The following is a 15,604-nucleotide window of genomic DNA, read 5'->3' on the forward strand; positions in this document are numbered from 1 at the left end:
TATATACGCTGTCTCTAACTGGGATACATCAAGAACTGTCCCTGATTACATAAATAAATGGAGTAATTGAGCTCACGCTGCATGTGGAAAGTCATGTTCCTAGCAATTATTCCTCTTTGGGAAGATAAGTTTATTTATCAATGTCTACTTGCTACACAGTTCAAATAAATCTTTTTCTAAGTGAAGCATTTGACTTGCAGTCCATGACTATCTGGAAAACATGACCATTCAACCCAATCTGAGATTTACACCTTAGCTCAAAACAGGCTCAAGTGCAACATGCAACTTGCTGGCTGACAATGTGTTGATGTTTAATTTGACATTAAAATCAATTATTGGGAAAGGGGAGCAACAGCACCATTAGGGAAATTGCTGCTGATTTTATATTCTGTCACATCAAAGTGAACTGGAGATTAATATTCTCATATTTTATTGTTAAAACATTTTAATTTCTTTTAAGTGTGTATTTCAGGTTGTGAATCCTTCATGAGAACCCAGCTCAGTCGTTCCAATTTGCATATGAAAGCTACAATATTGTGACACTTACCTGTCAGCAGGTACTTTAGCCCGTTGAAGGTATTCACCTGCCAAAAGTTCTTTAATGTTGGAATCTAACTGAAGAATTCAGAAAATATAAAATACATAAATAATATGCCTAATGCTTATTTAAAGCCTCTCCCAGATTTGCTGATTTTCTGATTATAGAAAGAAAGAAAGGCTATTTTCACTTTCTGGAACGACTGAAGAAAGCATTCAACTTTGTTGAGCCTAAATTTGTGGATAACTGTTGAACCTTCCCATATGGGATATATTTAAATACTCTCCGAGCCTGTTGTATTCTGCTCTTTTATTTTCAGAAGAAGGAATTTCCAGCCAAAAGCAGACTCTGTGCCCTAACAAAGAATGTACTGGGTGTACTGGGCTGAACAATATAAAAATGAACCTGAAGTACTATTATTATCTCTTTTCTTTGCCCATATCTGAATTCTTCAGACTAAAGGGTTGCAGAGAACAACGATAGTAGCCTAAAATTTCCAGGGATTAATCCAAAGTTTATTGAAGAAACCTCATCCAAAGAAAACCAGCTTCTCCCAGTTTATAATGCCCTCCTTCTACTGAGGGACCCCATTGACAGGTACACATTTGTAAATATGAAGAACTGGAAACGGATGTACACCTCTGCATTAGTTTTTTTCTTTTTTTCCTTCTTCATGGCTTAGCTGTAAGAATAATTCACCTTTAAGCTTTCCTCCCTCTGATGTTCTCCAGCCTTTTTCACTAAGTAGATTTCAGCCTTTTGGGGTCAAGAGGTTTTTGTACAAATAGACATTCTGATAGTCATGCACATATCCATTCATTTATTCCTTCCACAAACTTCTACTGTGATAGTAAAGCAATAAAAATAATAAATATTGGAGTCAGACTTATGTGATTGTGACCATTTATCAGCTGTGTAAACAAAGGCAAATTACCTGACAACATGATTGTCTACAACTTCTGCTGCAGAATGAAAATATATTGTAAAGATTAAAGGGTACTGTATGTGGCAAGTGCCTAGTATACTGATTGTCTTGACCACAATATGTGTTCTTCAATAGCATCTCTAAAATTAGAGGAAGATTTGCACAGCAGAGAGAAAAGGAAAAAGTTTTAGTCAAAGAAATTGAGTTCAACTTCTGTTTTGCCACTAGACTGTAAATTTGGTAAAATAATCTCTCAGGCTTATTTTTTAAATAACCTTAACAATAATATCTATCTCAAAAAATTATTGAGATATTTACATGAGATGATGACAGATTAATCATTTAGCACTGTTCTTCTCACAGAGTGGTTACATAAATAATGATACATATTAAAGATTATTTTTATTTCTAATAACATGTGATGGTGATAGACTAAGTAAACAGGGATGAACACGTTGTAAGGCCCAAAACAAAGATATAACAAAGAGCTGTGAGAACATCTCACTCTGCCAGGAAAAATATAAAAATGCTTGCAATGAGCTAGAGTTTAAGCATAACCAAGTAACTTTGAACCATTCAGCCTACAGAGAAACTTGGACTCCCGATGAGATATCCCCAAACTTTACTGAGATTGGAGAGGACAGGCATTGCAAAATGCAGTGCAACTTAATAAATGTTTATTTTCTGTGTGATCTAGCCCCTGTTGTAGGTGCTATGAATATAAAGATGCATGCAACTAATCTCATTCCCCTAAAATATGCTACAGTGGCCAATTAGAGATTCTAGAACACTGATTAGAGAGTTATTAATTCTGTTGATTTGTGGGAGGTGAGAAAACAGTACAAAGAGATGGAATTTGGAGATCAGATGAACAAGTGTACACAAATTGGACAATGAAAGAAAGGATGTTATCAGTGGACAAAAGAGTCAAAAACTGAAGTAATGCAGATGTCATGGTATGTACAGGAAATATATAAGAATATATAACTTACTAAGATTTTGGATTTTATACTCCATGTAAGAAGGTCTTTGTGCATAAAAATTCCAGGTTTAGAATTGTGTTTTCATAAGATGGTTCTGGGGTAGTAAATTAGGAAAGGAGAATTAGAAAATGTGGGACATTTGTTTCTTAAGTTATTTTTTGCTAAATATGCCAGGCAGGTGTTAGGGATTCAATAATAAACAATAGGGTCAAGGTTTTGATCATCTGCCTATGGCAACAGAAGGGTTAAGAATGATAGTGAGTTTTTGGAGTATTTGTTGTTTGTTTGTTTGTTTGTTTGTTTGTTTGTTTTAGACTGCGGCATGCTTCTTTAGAAAAGTGCTTTTCCCAGGCAGAGACACAACAAAAAAAGAGAATTTTAGACCAATATCCTTGATGAACATTGATGCAAAAATCCTCAATAAAATACTGGCAAAACGAATCCAGCAGCACATCAAAAAGCTTATCCACCATGATCAAGTGGGCTTCATCCCTGGGATGCAAGGCTGGTTCAATATATGCAAATCAATAAATGTAATCCAGCATATAAACAGAGCCAAAGACAAAAACCACATGATTATCTCAATAGATGCAGAAAAAGCCTTCGACAAAATTCAACAACCCTTCATGCTAAAAACTCTCAATAAATTAGGTATTGATGGGATGTATCTCAAAATAATAAGTGCTATCTATGACAAACCCACAGCCAATATCATACTGAATGGGCAAAAACTGGAAGCATTCCCTTTGAAAACTGGCACAAGACAGGGATGCCCTCTCTCACCACTCCTATTCAACATAGTGTTGGAAGTTCTGGCCAGGGCAATTAGACAGGAGAAGGAAATAAAGTGTATTCAATTAGGAAAAGAGGAAGTCAAATTGTCCCTGTTTGCAGACGACCTGATTGTATATCTAGAAAACCCCATTGTCTCAGCCCAAAATCTCCCTAAGCTGATAAGCAACTTCAGCAAAGTCTCAGGATACAAAATCAATGTACAAAAATCACAAGCATTCTTATACACCAACAACAGACAAACAGAGAGCCAAATCATGAGTGAACTCCCATTCACAATTGCTTCAAAGAGAGTAAAATACCTAGGAATCCAACTTACAAGGGATGTAAAGGACCTCTTCAAGGAGAACTACAAACCACTGCTCAAGGAAATAAAAGAGGATACAAACAAATGGAAGAACATTCCATGCTCACGGGTAGGAAGAATCAATATCCTGAAAATGGCCATACTGCCCAAGGTAATTTACAGATTCAATGCCATCCCCATCAAGCTACCAATGCCTTTCTTCACAGAATTGGAAAAAACTACTTTAAAGTTCATATGGAACCAAAAAAGAGCCCGCATGGCCAAGTCAATCCTAAGCCAAAAGAACAAAGCTGGAGGCATCACACTACCTGACTTCAAACTATACTACAAGGCAACAGTAACCAAAACAGCATGGTACTGGTACCAAAACAGAGATATAGATCAATGGAACAGAACAGAGCCCTCAGAAATAACGCCACATATCTACAACTATCCGATCTTTGACAAACCTGAGAAAAACAAGCAATGGGGAAAGGATTCCCTATTTAATAAATGGTGCTGGGAAAACTGGCTAGCCATATGTAGAAAGCTGAAACTGGATCCCTTCCTTACACCTTACACAAAAATCAATTCAAGATGGATTAAAGACTTAAACGTAAGACCTAACACCATAAAAACCCTAGAAGAAAACCTAGGCATTACCATTCAGGACATAGGCATGGGCAAGGACTTCATGTCTAAAACACCAAAAGCAATGGCAACAAAGGACAAAATTGACAAATGGGATCTAATTAAACTAAAGAGCTTCTGCACAGCAAAAGAAACTACCATCAGAGTGAAAAGGCAACCTACAAAATGGGATAAAATTTTCACAACCTGCTCATCTGACAAAGGGCTAATATCCAGAATCTACAATGAACTCAAACAAATTTACAAGAAAAAAACAAACAACCCCATCAAAAAGTGGGCGAAGGACATGAACAGACACTTCTCAAAAGAAGACATTTATGCAGCCGAAAAACACATGAAAAAATGCTCACTATCACTGGCCATCAGAGAAATGCAAATCAAAACCACAATGAGATACCATCTCACACCAGTTAGAATGGCAATCATTCAAAAGTCAGGAAACAACAGGTGCTGGAGAGGATGTGGAGAAATAGGAACACTTTTACACTGTTGGTGGGACTGTAAACTAGTTCAACCATTGTGGAAGTCAGTGTGGCGATTCCTCAGGGATCTAGAACTAGAAATACCATTTGACCCAGCCATCCCATTACTGGGTATATACCCAAAGGAATATAAATCATGCTGCTATAAAGACACATGCACACGTATGTTTATTGTGGCATTATTCATGATAGCAAAGACTTGGAACCAACCCAAATGTCCAACAATGATAGACTGGATTAAGAAAATGTGGCACATATACACCATGGAATACTATGCAGCCATAAAAAATGATGAGTTCATGTCCTTTGTAGGGACATGGATGAAATTGGAAATCATCATTCTCAGTAAACTATCGCAAGAACAAAAAACCAAACACCGCATATTCTCACTCATAGGTGGGAATTGAACAATGAGATCACATGGACACAGGAAGGGGAACATCACACTCTGGGGAATGTTGTGGGGTGGGGGGAGGGGGGAGGGAGAGCATTGGGAGATATACCTAATGCTAGATGACGATTTAGTGGGTGCAGCGCACCAGCATGGCACATGTATACATATGTAATTAACCTGCACATTGTGCACATGTACCCTAAAACTTAAAGTATAATAAAAAAATTAAATAAATAAATAAATAAATAAATAAATAAAAAGAAAAGTGCTTTTCAAACTTTCCCATTAAAATACCCACAAAGGCAAAGGAAATTTAATACACAACCTCACAGGGATTGCTGTGAGGAAGAAATAGAATAATATCATAAAATACTTGGCCCGTGTTAGATGTTTGTCTTGTTATTGTTCTTAATGTCCTTGTTAAAATAATAAAATATAGACACATGGAACTCAGAAGCATCTTTTTCCTTACTATTCCTATTCTCCTATCATTGAGTCTCTCCCTGGCTCTCCAGTCTTTTAACTCTATACTTACACTCTTAATTTTTGCCCTTGGCCCTTCTCTATTTAGCTATAGTTCTGATTGGTTTCTGTGTGACTTCAGACCTTCTCACTTCATTCTCAAATCAACATCATTCCTGGACATCACCATCATTTTCAAATGCTGGTAAGTAAGACACAACCCTTCCAAATGCTACTGAGACCTTTCACTTAGCCCACAATCAGAGCAGAGATTTGGACCATTTTTACCCTTCCATTTGTAACTGTTCTCACCTTGAAACTGTTAAACACCCTGGTCCAATACAGAATTATTTTAAATATTTAAATATACAAGTTGACTAATGTCTTATAGTCAGAGATTCTTTTTTTTTTTTTTTTTTGAGACAGAGCCTCGCTATGTCGCCCAGACTGTAGTGCAGTGGCACAATCTTGGCTCACTGTAGCCTCCACCTCCCAGGTTGCAGCAATTCTCCTGCCTCAGCCTCCCAGGTAGCTGGGATTACAGGTACATGCTACCATGCCCGGCTAATTTTTATATTTTTAGTACAGATGAGGTTTCACCATGTTGGCCAGGGTTGTCTCGAACTTCTGATCTCAGGTGATCTGCCTGTCTCAGCCTCCCAAAATGCTAGGATTACAGGCATGAGTCACCGCGTATGGCCCAGAGTTTCTTAAGTAAGATTTGATACTTATGCTCAGTGGAAGCAAGGGTCCATGCAAACAAATTATAATCAGCTTAATGTCAATTATCCATTAATTATTGGACCATTTTAATATGTAATTAATTGAATTGATAACACATTGATATTGTTAAACATTTTAAAGGTACAAAAGAGTATACAGAAAAATGTCCATCTCCACTCGAGTCCATTCCAGCCATCCAACATCCACTCTTTTCCAAGGGTGTTTGAGGTGGGGGCAGGGAAATATTGTCAGTTCCTCTACTGTTCTTTTAGGATAGTTTATGCATGCAGGAGCAAACACAATATGAACTATTTTACTTTGATAAAATACATACAGAACTGTGTAGACTTTGTTTATTGCCTTGCTTTTTCACATAATACTGTACCTTGAAAATTGTCTTCAAACACCTTTTTTTCTTACTTTTTTTTACAGCTGCACAATGTTCTATTTTATGTGTGTATCATAAATATAACAGTTGAGTTATGTTTAGGTACTGCTATATTCAGGCAGTTGAAAAAAAAATTGAAAGTTTTACCAATAGTCCTTTTTGGGCCCTAAGCTGACAGATGTTATTTGAGGTGAAAGAGCTCCAGAATGAGAAAACTTTCTATCTTCTCCTAAACACTGTGAGCAAGACAAGAAGTTCTGTAGGTTTTGTGTAGTTGAAGCTTACAGAAAATCAGGTTACAGTCCAACTACAACATACTCAAACTTGAATATGTTAAAATACCAACAGACTTGCCTATACCTTTACTAAAATGTGGCTTTTTTTCCCACAGAAATGATGTTTTAGGAATGTTTATCTTTACAATGTCAAACACAAATGACTGAAAATAGAATGCTACTGAATTTCACTTGCATCTGACTTTTTTTTGTCAAATGCTTCAGTATATCTGCTCACTACAGAATGCGTTTACACTACTGTGTCTACTTAAGATTTCTGATCATCTGTGTCTGCTGAAAAGGCTACAATGTAAATTATAATGACTGTAACTAAAATTAGTCTTTCTATGACACACACATAAAAAAACTTAACTATATATTTTCAAAAGCATTATTTAATTTAATTTCAACATATATGGTTTTTTTTCTATTCTTGGGCATTGTTTTCCAGGTTAATATTAAGTTGGATATATTAAGATTTACAAAAATCCCCAAATCTACAAACTCCAGATAGTTTTAACACTGTTAAATACAGTATCCATTTTATAGCTTCCAATTTTCTGGATTTCACAACAGGATAGCTTTTTCATTAATTCTTTCCCTCCAGCTTATCTTCAACCATAATTCTGTTTTACTTAACTATATTTAAAAGAGCTCCTTCAGTACTAGGGTAAATGTCACCATTAAAAAAAAGAAAACAGCAATTTTCAAAGTGTGGCAAACTTTAAAAAAAAGTTCAAATATTCAAATGGCTTTTAATATTAATATTTAAATACCTTAAATTAGAAAGTACTTGAATAAATAAAATGTCACTTCTCCACCAGTATTCATAAGTAGATGCCTGTCGTTTCTATACCAAATTGATTAAATGGAGGTGGAGTGGACCTATGTCATTTAATTGAATCATTATGCTAACGGTCATCAGTATGGCCACGTTAATATATCTGTCCTAGGTAATTTGGAAATAAAATAGATTAATTCCCCTTAATTTCTTTACCATCACCACTTCTTACCACTACTTCCACTAAACAAACAAACATAAATGTACATGCACACATACATACAGCCCATTATGCTTCAGTAAAGTTTTACTGAATAAATAACTTTGGGTTGAGGAAAGGAAGCAAATATGAGGAACCTTCAGATGATAAATTATATTTGAAAATCAAACAGCCAAATTTTATAGGCCTTTTCTCTGTCTTGTAAACATTCTCATCCTGCATACTCATGGAGAGAAGTAATGGAGAGAAGTAATATGAAAGAGCAAACCTAGATTATTTGTGTAGTAAACTAAATAGTATATTCCCCAAAGCAAGCAAACAAATGGTAAAAAAAAGAAGTTGAGCTATTCTGCATTTATATAGAAAGAATTGCACAGATTTCTTTTTTCAGGAGAAATGACTTGTGAGATTCTTTTACCTAGTTTTCCAAATATAGACTTTAACTCCAGCAAGCCTGAACAGATAGCTTAATGAAGACAAAGTCAACTAGACCCTTCTATAAAGATGGAATTTAAACATTGGTGTTAGCATTCAAGAGCCATGTGAGTCTGTTGACCATTTTGAGTCTTGGTTTTCATAGCAGCAAGTGCTGGAATAAAGGAATGGTTTTTAAACTGGTGCAGGAGCTCTGCTGAGCACCCAGTCTCTGAGATCCCCTCCTTCACAACAATCCATTTATCAAGTTCTTTTTTTTAATCTCTTTAACATATTTGCTTTTAGGTAATATTTCACCTGAACAAATAATCCAGTACAGTTAATCAGAAATCACTGGACCAGATCACCAGACGAAGCCTCTTCCCCCTGGATCTAAATGTTGCATAGTTCTCCAATCAGACAAACTCATAGTTATGCATAAAGCAATGTCCTGATTTACAAGCAGGTAAAATTCAAAAGTGAACAACTGTGAGGCGGAAGCTGAGGACATTGGGAAGTAAACCACATCCTTGACATCATTTTAGCTCTCCCTAACTTTGTTACCCCAATGGGTTTATAAAGTGTGAACCTTTATACAATTTAAATCAAATCCCTCTTTAAATTCTTTCAGAGGCTACTAGTTATTCTTGTGTAAAATTTAAGCTTCATGCCCAGCTAAAGACATTTTGTGACCTGGATGCTGAGGCCTGCCTCACTAGCTTTAATATTCACCACACCCTACAAGGCCCTACTCCTGACTTTTGGAGCTACTGTATTTGCACTTCCTCCACTTCACCATGCTTCTCACTCCCCTCTGTAGCTTTGCTTGCTCATACATGCTCATGCTTCTTCCAAAAAAGCCGACTTTTCTGGTTCCTCCTGACATCCTGACTTGATTAAACTTTTATTGCTTTCAGGAATCTTCCTCTGACTCTCCACAAACTGGATTAGATGGCTCTCAAAGTGGTGATTCCAAAATCCTGAGCTTACCTTTGGCAAAACACTTGCCTGAGTTAGACTTTCTTAAAATTGTCCTTCCCTGACATGATGCTGGAAACTCTTCAAAGAGAGAGACTATGACTTTAATTTCTCCCAGTGCCTCATAGAGAACACAGTAAGTGGTCAGTACATGCTTCCAGAAAAATTAATGAAGAAATAGTTTGAGATTACATATTCTGAAAATATTAAGGCCGCTTGGCCAAAATGTAAACGCTTTGTGGGGCTTTTACAATTGTTAATAGAAAAATCAAACTCTGGTCTGGGCACGGTGGCTCATGCCTGTAATCCCAACACTTTGGGAGGTCAAGGCAGGCGGATCACTTGAGGTCAGACGTTCGAGACTAGCCTGGCCAACATGGCAAAACCACGTCTCTACTAAAAATACAAAAATTAGCCTGGCATGGTGGAGTGTGCCTGTAATCCTAGCTACTTGGGGGGCTGAGGCAGGAGAATTGCTTGAACTCGGGAGGTGTTGCAGTGAGCAGAAATCGTGCCATTGCACTCCTGCCTGGGCGACAGAACGAGACTCTGTCTGGAAAAAAAAAAAAAATCAAACTCTGTAAAAATATATTAAAGAGGCTTATTCTGGGCCAATATCAGCCACTGCAGCACAGGGAAAAACACAATCCCAGGAAGCCTTGACTAAGAGGTCCAGGGGCAGATAGGTCACATCCCTGTTTTATACATTTTAGGGAAGTAGATGTTACAGTCATAAAGCAATACATGGAAGTTAAACATTGGTTTGGCCCCAAAAGTTGGGTATCCTCAAGTGGGGGCTTATGGGGCATAGGAGGGTTCAGAGATTCTTTAATTTGCAATTTGTTAAAGGAGTAATGCTTTGTCAAAAAATTTGGAGTCAGCAGAAAGGAATGTTTAAGTTAAGACGAGGAATTCTTTTAACCAATACACTGGGTCGGAGTGACCTGTAGGGGCATTTGACTTAACCCTTGTCTAGCATGGCCTTAGGTCCTGTTTATCACTTCATATCTTGTCACAAAGAGTTGTTTTATTAGTTCTATGAACTCCACTTTATTATTAATACTGCTTGGTTGTGTCTAAACTCCAAAAACGAGGGAATACAAGGGGGCGTGTCTAATCTCTTATTCTGTCATGGCCAACAACTCAGTTTTTCAGGTTTCTCTGGGTCCCCTTGGCCACAAGGGGTTCCACTCAATCAGTTGGGGTGCTTAGGATTTTATTTTTAGTTTACACAATCCCACCAAACATTAATTGCTGTAATTTTCAGCTAGTACATAACCACATACCTCTTTTTGGCTTTTTAATATTTCTACTACCTGGATGCAACATGTCATTGATAGTGTTGATTGTCATTGCCTGCTCTTCAGTAAACATTTTTAAATGGCTACATCAAAACATGCAAAATAAGTGTCAGTGGCTTGGAAGAAAATTTGAGACAATTGTAAAGCATTATTTTATCTACTAAAAACTAGATGAGTGTAGGAAAGGGTTGTGGTTGGGTCAGACGTGTTTGTCATGATTGTCGAAAGTGGAATCAAAGTAGCTTCACTGCAGATAACTACAAATTAGTTGGTTTAAGAATCCTGCCTTGATGGCACTTAATTCTTTATGAAATATTTCAAGTAATGGTCTTGATGGAGGCAGAAGACTACATTGTATGGGGAAAAGTGAACAGCAGTATTAGTTTCAATTCAAAAGTGATATTGAATGTGAATAATTTAATCACCTTGACAAATTCATTTTGCTAATTTTTTATATATGCCCGAAATAAATAATATCTATGTCTAATTAAAGGCAAAATGGTCCTTTCAAGAAGTATAAAGTGAAATTTCTAATTGATAAGAAAGTAAAACATCAAATAGAGTTGACAGTATTTTTCTTTGTTAGTAGTATATAAAATAATGGTGAGATGTCCAATTAGTGATATTTTAAGTTTAATCTTGTGGATTCAAACATGGGACCAAGCAATAAGTCTAAACCTAAAATTTAGGCACTTTTAATATTTAAGTAACTTTGTTTACAGGTTGAGTTTACTTAAAATTATTCTGTATATTATTAAATTATTTTTCCAAGTTCATTATACTTACAGTAAATTATCAGTAAAACTGAATTGCTCATGTGTTTTTTTTTTTCCACTCAAAAGAGATGAAGATAATATGTTGTAATTTTACCAAAATTGGGAGCTGTACTGTAGGAACAAATGTATGCCAAAATGGAGAGTTTGCCAGCCACCAGCATGAAAAGGAACACTTATATTTTGTTTTATTAGTATTCCAAACCAATACACCTGTCCACATATCAAATTCACTTTACTTATCAAAATCTGCTTTCACTTCCTCACCACCAATTGACACAAATCCATTTTCTGCAGCCTCTAATGCCTTGGTTTGTTTGTCTTTCAGCACAGGGATAATTCAGTGGCAGTGAATAGCTGGGATAGAAAGCATGGTGTGTTTCTCCTAAGCGTATATTGCATGTGGTACGGCACTTCATATTGTGAAGAGGAATACATTAAGTGGATGATGCATGCCATGCTTTAAAAAATGAAAAAAGAAAATAGCTTTCTTTCAAATATGAAGGACTTAGAATGAAATTTTAAGGAAATAGTAACATAAATACATGTAAAATTCACTTGGTGAATGTTTTTAGAAATGTTTTTTTAAATGGCAGCAAATGCATATCACTGATCTCTAGGTCTTTGCATTTTTAGACTTCTCTGATTAATAAGTAAAAATTTACATGGGGATAAATTTTGCTAGAGGGATTTCTCAATAAAGATAGTTGGGTCCCCCAATGTTAATGTAGCTTACTAATAGGAGATATGGCAAATAAAACAACTGCTAGAATATCTAAAAATTATAATCAAGATTGCAGAACATCTTAGGGATTTGTGTGTGTGTGTGTGTTTATAACTTTAAAAAGAGGGATGATATTCTACCTTCAAAAGGAACATAATTATCCAGAGCTGGTTCCTTAGTGAGGTCACTGGTGGACCAATTTTGCAGCTGAGAAACTGCCTTTCTTTCATGGAGACTCTGAATGTTGTTCTCTTAGCTCAGGTTTTACTCCTTGCCACCACTCTCTTCTTGTACTAATGTTTTCAGCTTGTATTCATCCACTAACCCCCAACATCATATTAAAGCTTCAGACAAAAAAAGGATTTGACTCATTTAGGGTCTAAGATCTGTATTTTCTTCATTGTAGCTGTATTTCGCATTCATTGTTTGTAGTGCAGAAATGTTGATATTTGCTACAGTTTGGACACACTCTTCTTATTAATATTATTATTATTTTCAGGACAAAATGTCTCATGCTTCTTTCTGAAGTGTAATATGTGTGTTATAAATATTTTTATGATAAAAAATAGTAAATCAAAGGTGCATACATCATGCTATCTTTTACCAAGCAAAATTAGTTCTCTGAAAATAAACTTCTTTATTTAAAATGTATAATCTCAGTAAACACTTATTTAGCGTTTATTATGGACCAGTCATCACTTTAAGTCCTTTATATATAAAATGATTTAATGTTGGCAGCAGATCTGTTTTATATTCAAGGAAACTGAGATATTGGAAAGTAAATAGTTAACTATTTGCTAACTAAGTAGAAACCATGGGATTTGAACACTGCTAGTCTGACACAGAGACCTTGCTCTTTCCGCTATTGTATATAGCATGTTAGCTATTCCAGACCAGTCTGTATTGAAACTCAACATCCACTTTCCAGCTTTAGAGCAATGTGCATTAAGAAATGGACCAGCAGAACCAACAAATACTTGAGTGCTTGTTACCTCAAGAAAGGAAACAGAAAGCAAAGTACGCCTGGGGAAAGGTACACCTGCTCCCACCATAGCTTCCCAGATGTGCATTAACCAATTGAAAAACTGTATATTGTTCAGCTTCTAACGTTCTGACCAGCAATAGATGAAGATTTCTTAAACTCTTTTATTTTCATTCCAATGTAGAACAGACAATTAAAATTCAATATGAGCCATTTTATCCCAGGCACAGGCATTAAGAACAATGGGAGCACCCAAGCGTGATCACTCAGGCTTTTAGGAGGGGTAGTCAATGCATTTGATTTTTTTTGTTTCATCATCCTGACTTCAGGAGACATGTTTGGTCTGTGTGGCCATACTCTTGCCTTGATTTCTGATGTATAAACTATTGCGCGTCAAAACAGCAACTACACATTGCATAAATTAAGTTATATCCAAATGTAACAATCTGGAATTTTATTTTGTAGTCAAAAAACAGATGAACACTAAATGTACAGGAAACAAATGTGAACATAGTTTCTTTTATATTCTCACATTTTTTATTGGGAAAATCAATTGTTTTCATGTTTCAAATGGGAACCTTCATTTATTACATAATAGCAATAAATTGTGAGAATTAGAAAATGCTTGGGTCTAATGTATATGTGTGATAGTAACATAGTTACAGGATTTATAAAATATAAGATATTTAAATCCTATTGTATTTAGGATTTTGGGTACTAATATAAACTCATTAGAGTCTCTAATATTAGGATTTGAGGTGATGGATTAACAATACCCCCTTTCCCCTTTGATTTTGTGTCACTTGAGAAGTAGAATTGGGCTCAAGAAGATGGAGATCAAAATATCAGCATTAGTATGAAGGAGATTTCAGACAAAACAGATTATGTGGATGGAAATGATGAACTGTGTGGTTACTTTCAGATAAGTTGTGGAAGCATTCAAGCATAAGATGAGAATATAGGCTAGGCAACTCTAATATCTCATCTAACCATGCAAGTGAGTGATTCTAAACCCAATATTTGCATTTAATTATTTTGAAACTCTTCATATTCACTACGTTTTCACAGAACATCTGGGTCTTTAGTAAAATAAAGAATAATAAAAAATACATTAAAAATCCACAAAATACTATAATTCTTGGCCAGGTGCAGTGGCTTATGACTGTAATCCCAGCACTCTGGGAGACAGAGGCAGGCAAATCGCTTGAGGTCAGGAGTTTGAGACTAGCCTGGCCAACATGGTAAAACGTTGTCTCTACTAAAAGTAGAAAAATTAGCCAGGCATGGTGGCATGTCTATAATCCCAGCTACTCAGGAGGCTGAGGGAAGAAGGCGGAGGTTGCAATGAGCCAAGATGGTACCACTGCACTCCAGCCTGGGCCACAGAGCAGGATTTCATCTCAAAAATAAATAAATAAATAATAATAATAATAATTCCTACCATTAGGTGGTTTTCATTTAAGCTATAGAGAGAAATATATTAAATATGCTATTCAAAATATTAACATCAACCAAATGTACTGCATTGAGAGATAAGAGAATATTAGTGAAGAGAGAAATTATGGTGGACTGCCATAAAAGAAAAAACCTCACCCTGGGGTTTTTCAAATGATTCATTTCAAATGAGACTCATTTCAAATGATTGGGGAGGTTTGGAAAGGGGAACAGAAAATACATAACAGAATAAAGAAACTAGTGCGCAGATATATACCAACTATGTGCCATTGTCAGTATGTACTAGCTAATCCAGTCCAGTTTTACTTGCACAGGAGAGGAAACAATCTAGCCTGGAGCAGAGCATCGATGATGAAGAGCAACAGAAGTGGCCAGGCCTTTAAGGTGAGAATGGACTTAGAGGTGCTTGAAAGGCAGAAAGAGAAAAGAAACTCTTACGCTCCTGAATAGGAGCTTACATTGTTATTTAAGCAATATTATTCTAGAGGGGAAAAACTAGAGATAAAATAAATAATAAAAAGGGTATAACAGGAACACGGGTATGAAACAATGAAATCCTGGGTTAGAGTGGCAGCATTGTAGACAGAAAGGAAAAGGTGAATCTGAGAAACACTTCCCTACAGGGCAAGAGGCTCTGGTAAAGCTCTAATGCCCTATGCTTGTAGAAGAAGCTTTAACTAGAAAGTACACTTTGTGAGCCAAATCTAAAACTCTGGGGGAAAACAGGTAATCTATGAATTTATAAGAATAAGATTTTATGTTTCACAGCTCAGAAAAATATCCAGAACTGCATCTTTGGCTTTCTTATAAATTCATAGATTACCTATTTTCCCCCAGAGTTTTGATTTTAACTCAGAAAGAGTACTTCCTGCTTAAAAGCTTATTCTACAAGCATAGCGTGAGAGAGAAAGAATTCCCTGACCCAGGAACCGGACTTGTTTGTTTTCAGAGTTTTTGTTTTCAACTAGTTTCGGCAGTGAGAGCGCAATTACATTCAAATAGGAGAGACTTGCAGTGTGCTCAAGTCCAGATTGAGAAAGAATCAGAGGTTCTAGGATTGACAGAAGGTTCTAATTG

General features: G+C 36.1%; 1 annotated feature.

The window, feature by feature from the left end:
* Nucleotides 280–781: an enhancer, noted in NCBI's record as "NANOG hESC enhancer chr9:76446189-76446690 (GRCh37/hg19 assembly coordinates)". NCBI's record gives its function as "activates a minimal SCP1, AML or CMV promoter by ChIP-STARR-seq in primed H9 embryonic stem cells {active_cell/tissue: H9 hESC(primed)}" and the evidence as "EXISTENCE:reporter gene assay evidence [ECO:0000049][PMID:30033119]".

Source organism: Homo sapiens, chromosome 9, assembly GCF_000001405.40.
Source record: "Homo sapiens chromosome 9, GRCh38.p14 Primary Assembly".
Classification (NCBI taxonomy): Eukaryota; Metazoa; Chordata; class Mammalia; order Primates; family Hominidae; genus Homo; species Homo sapiens.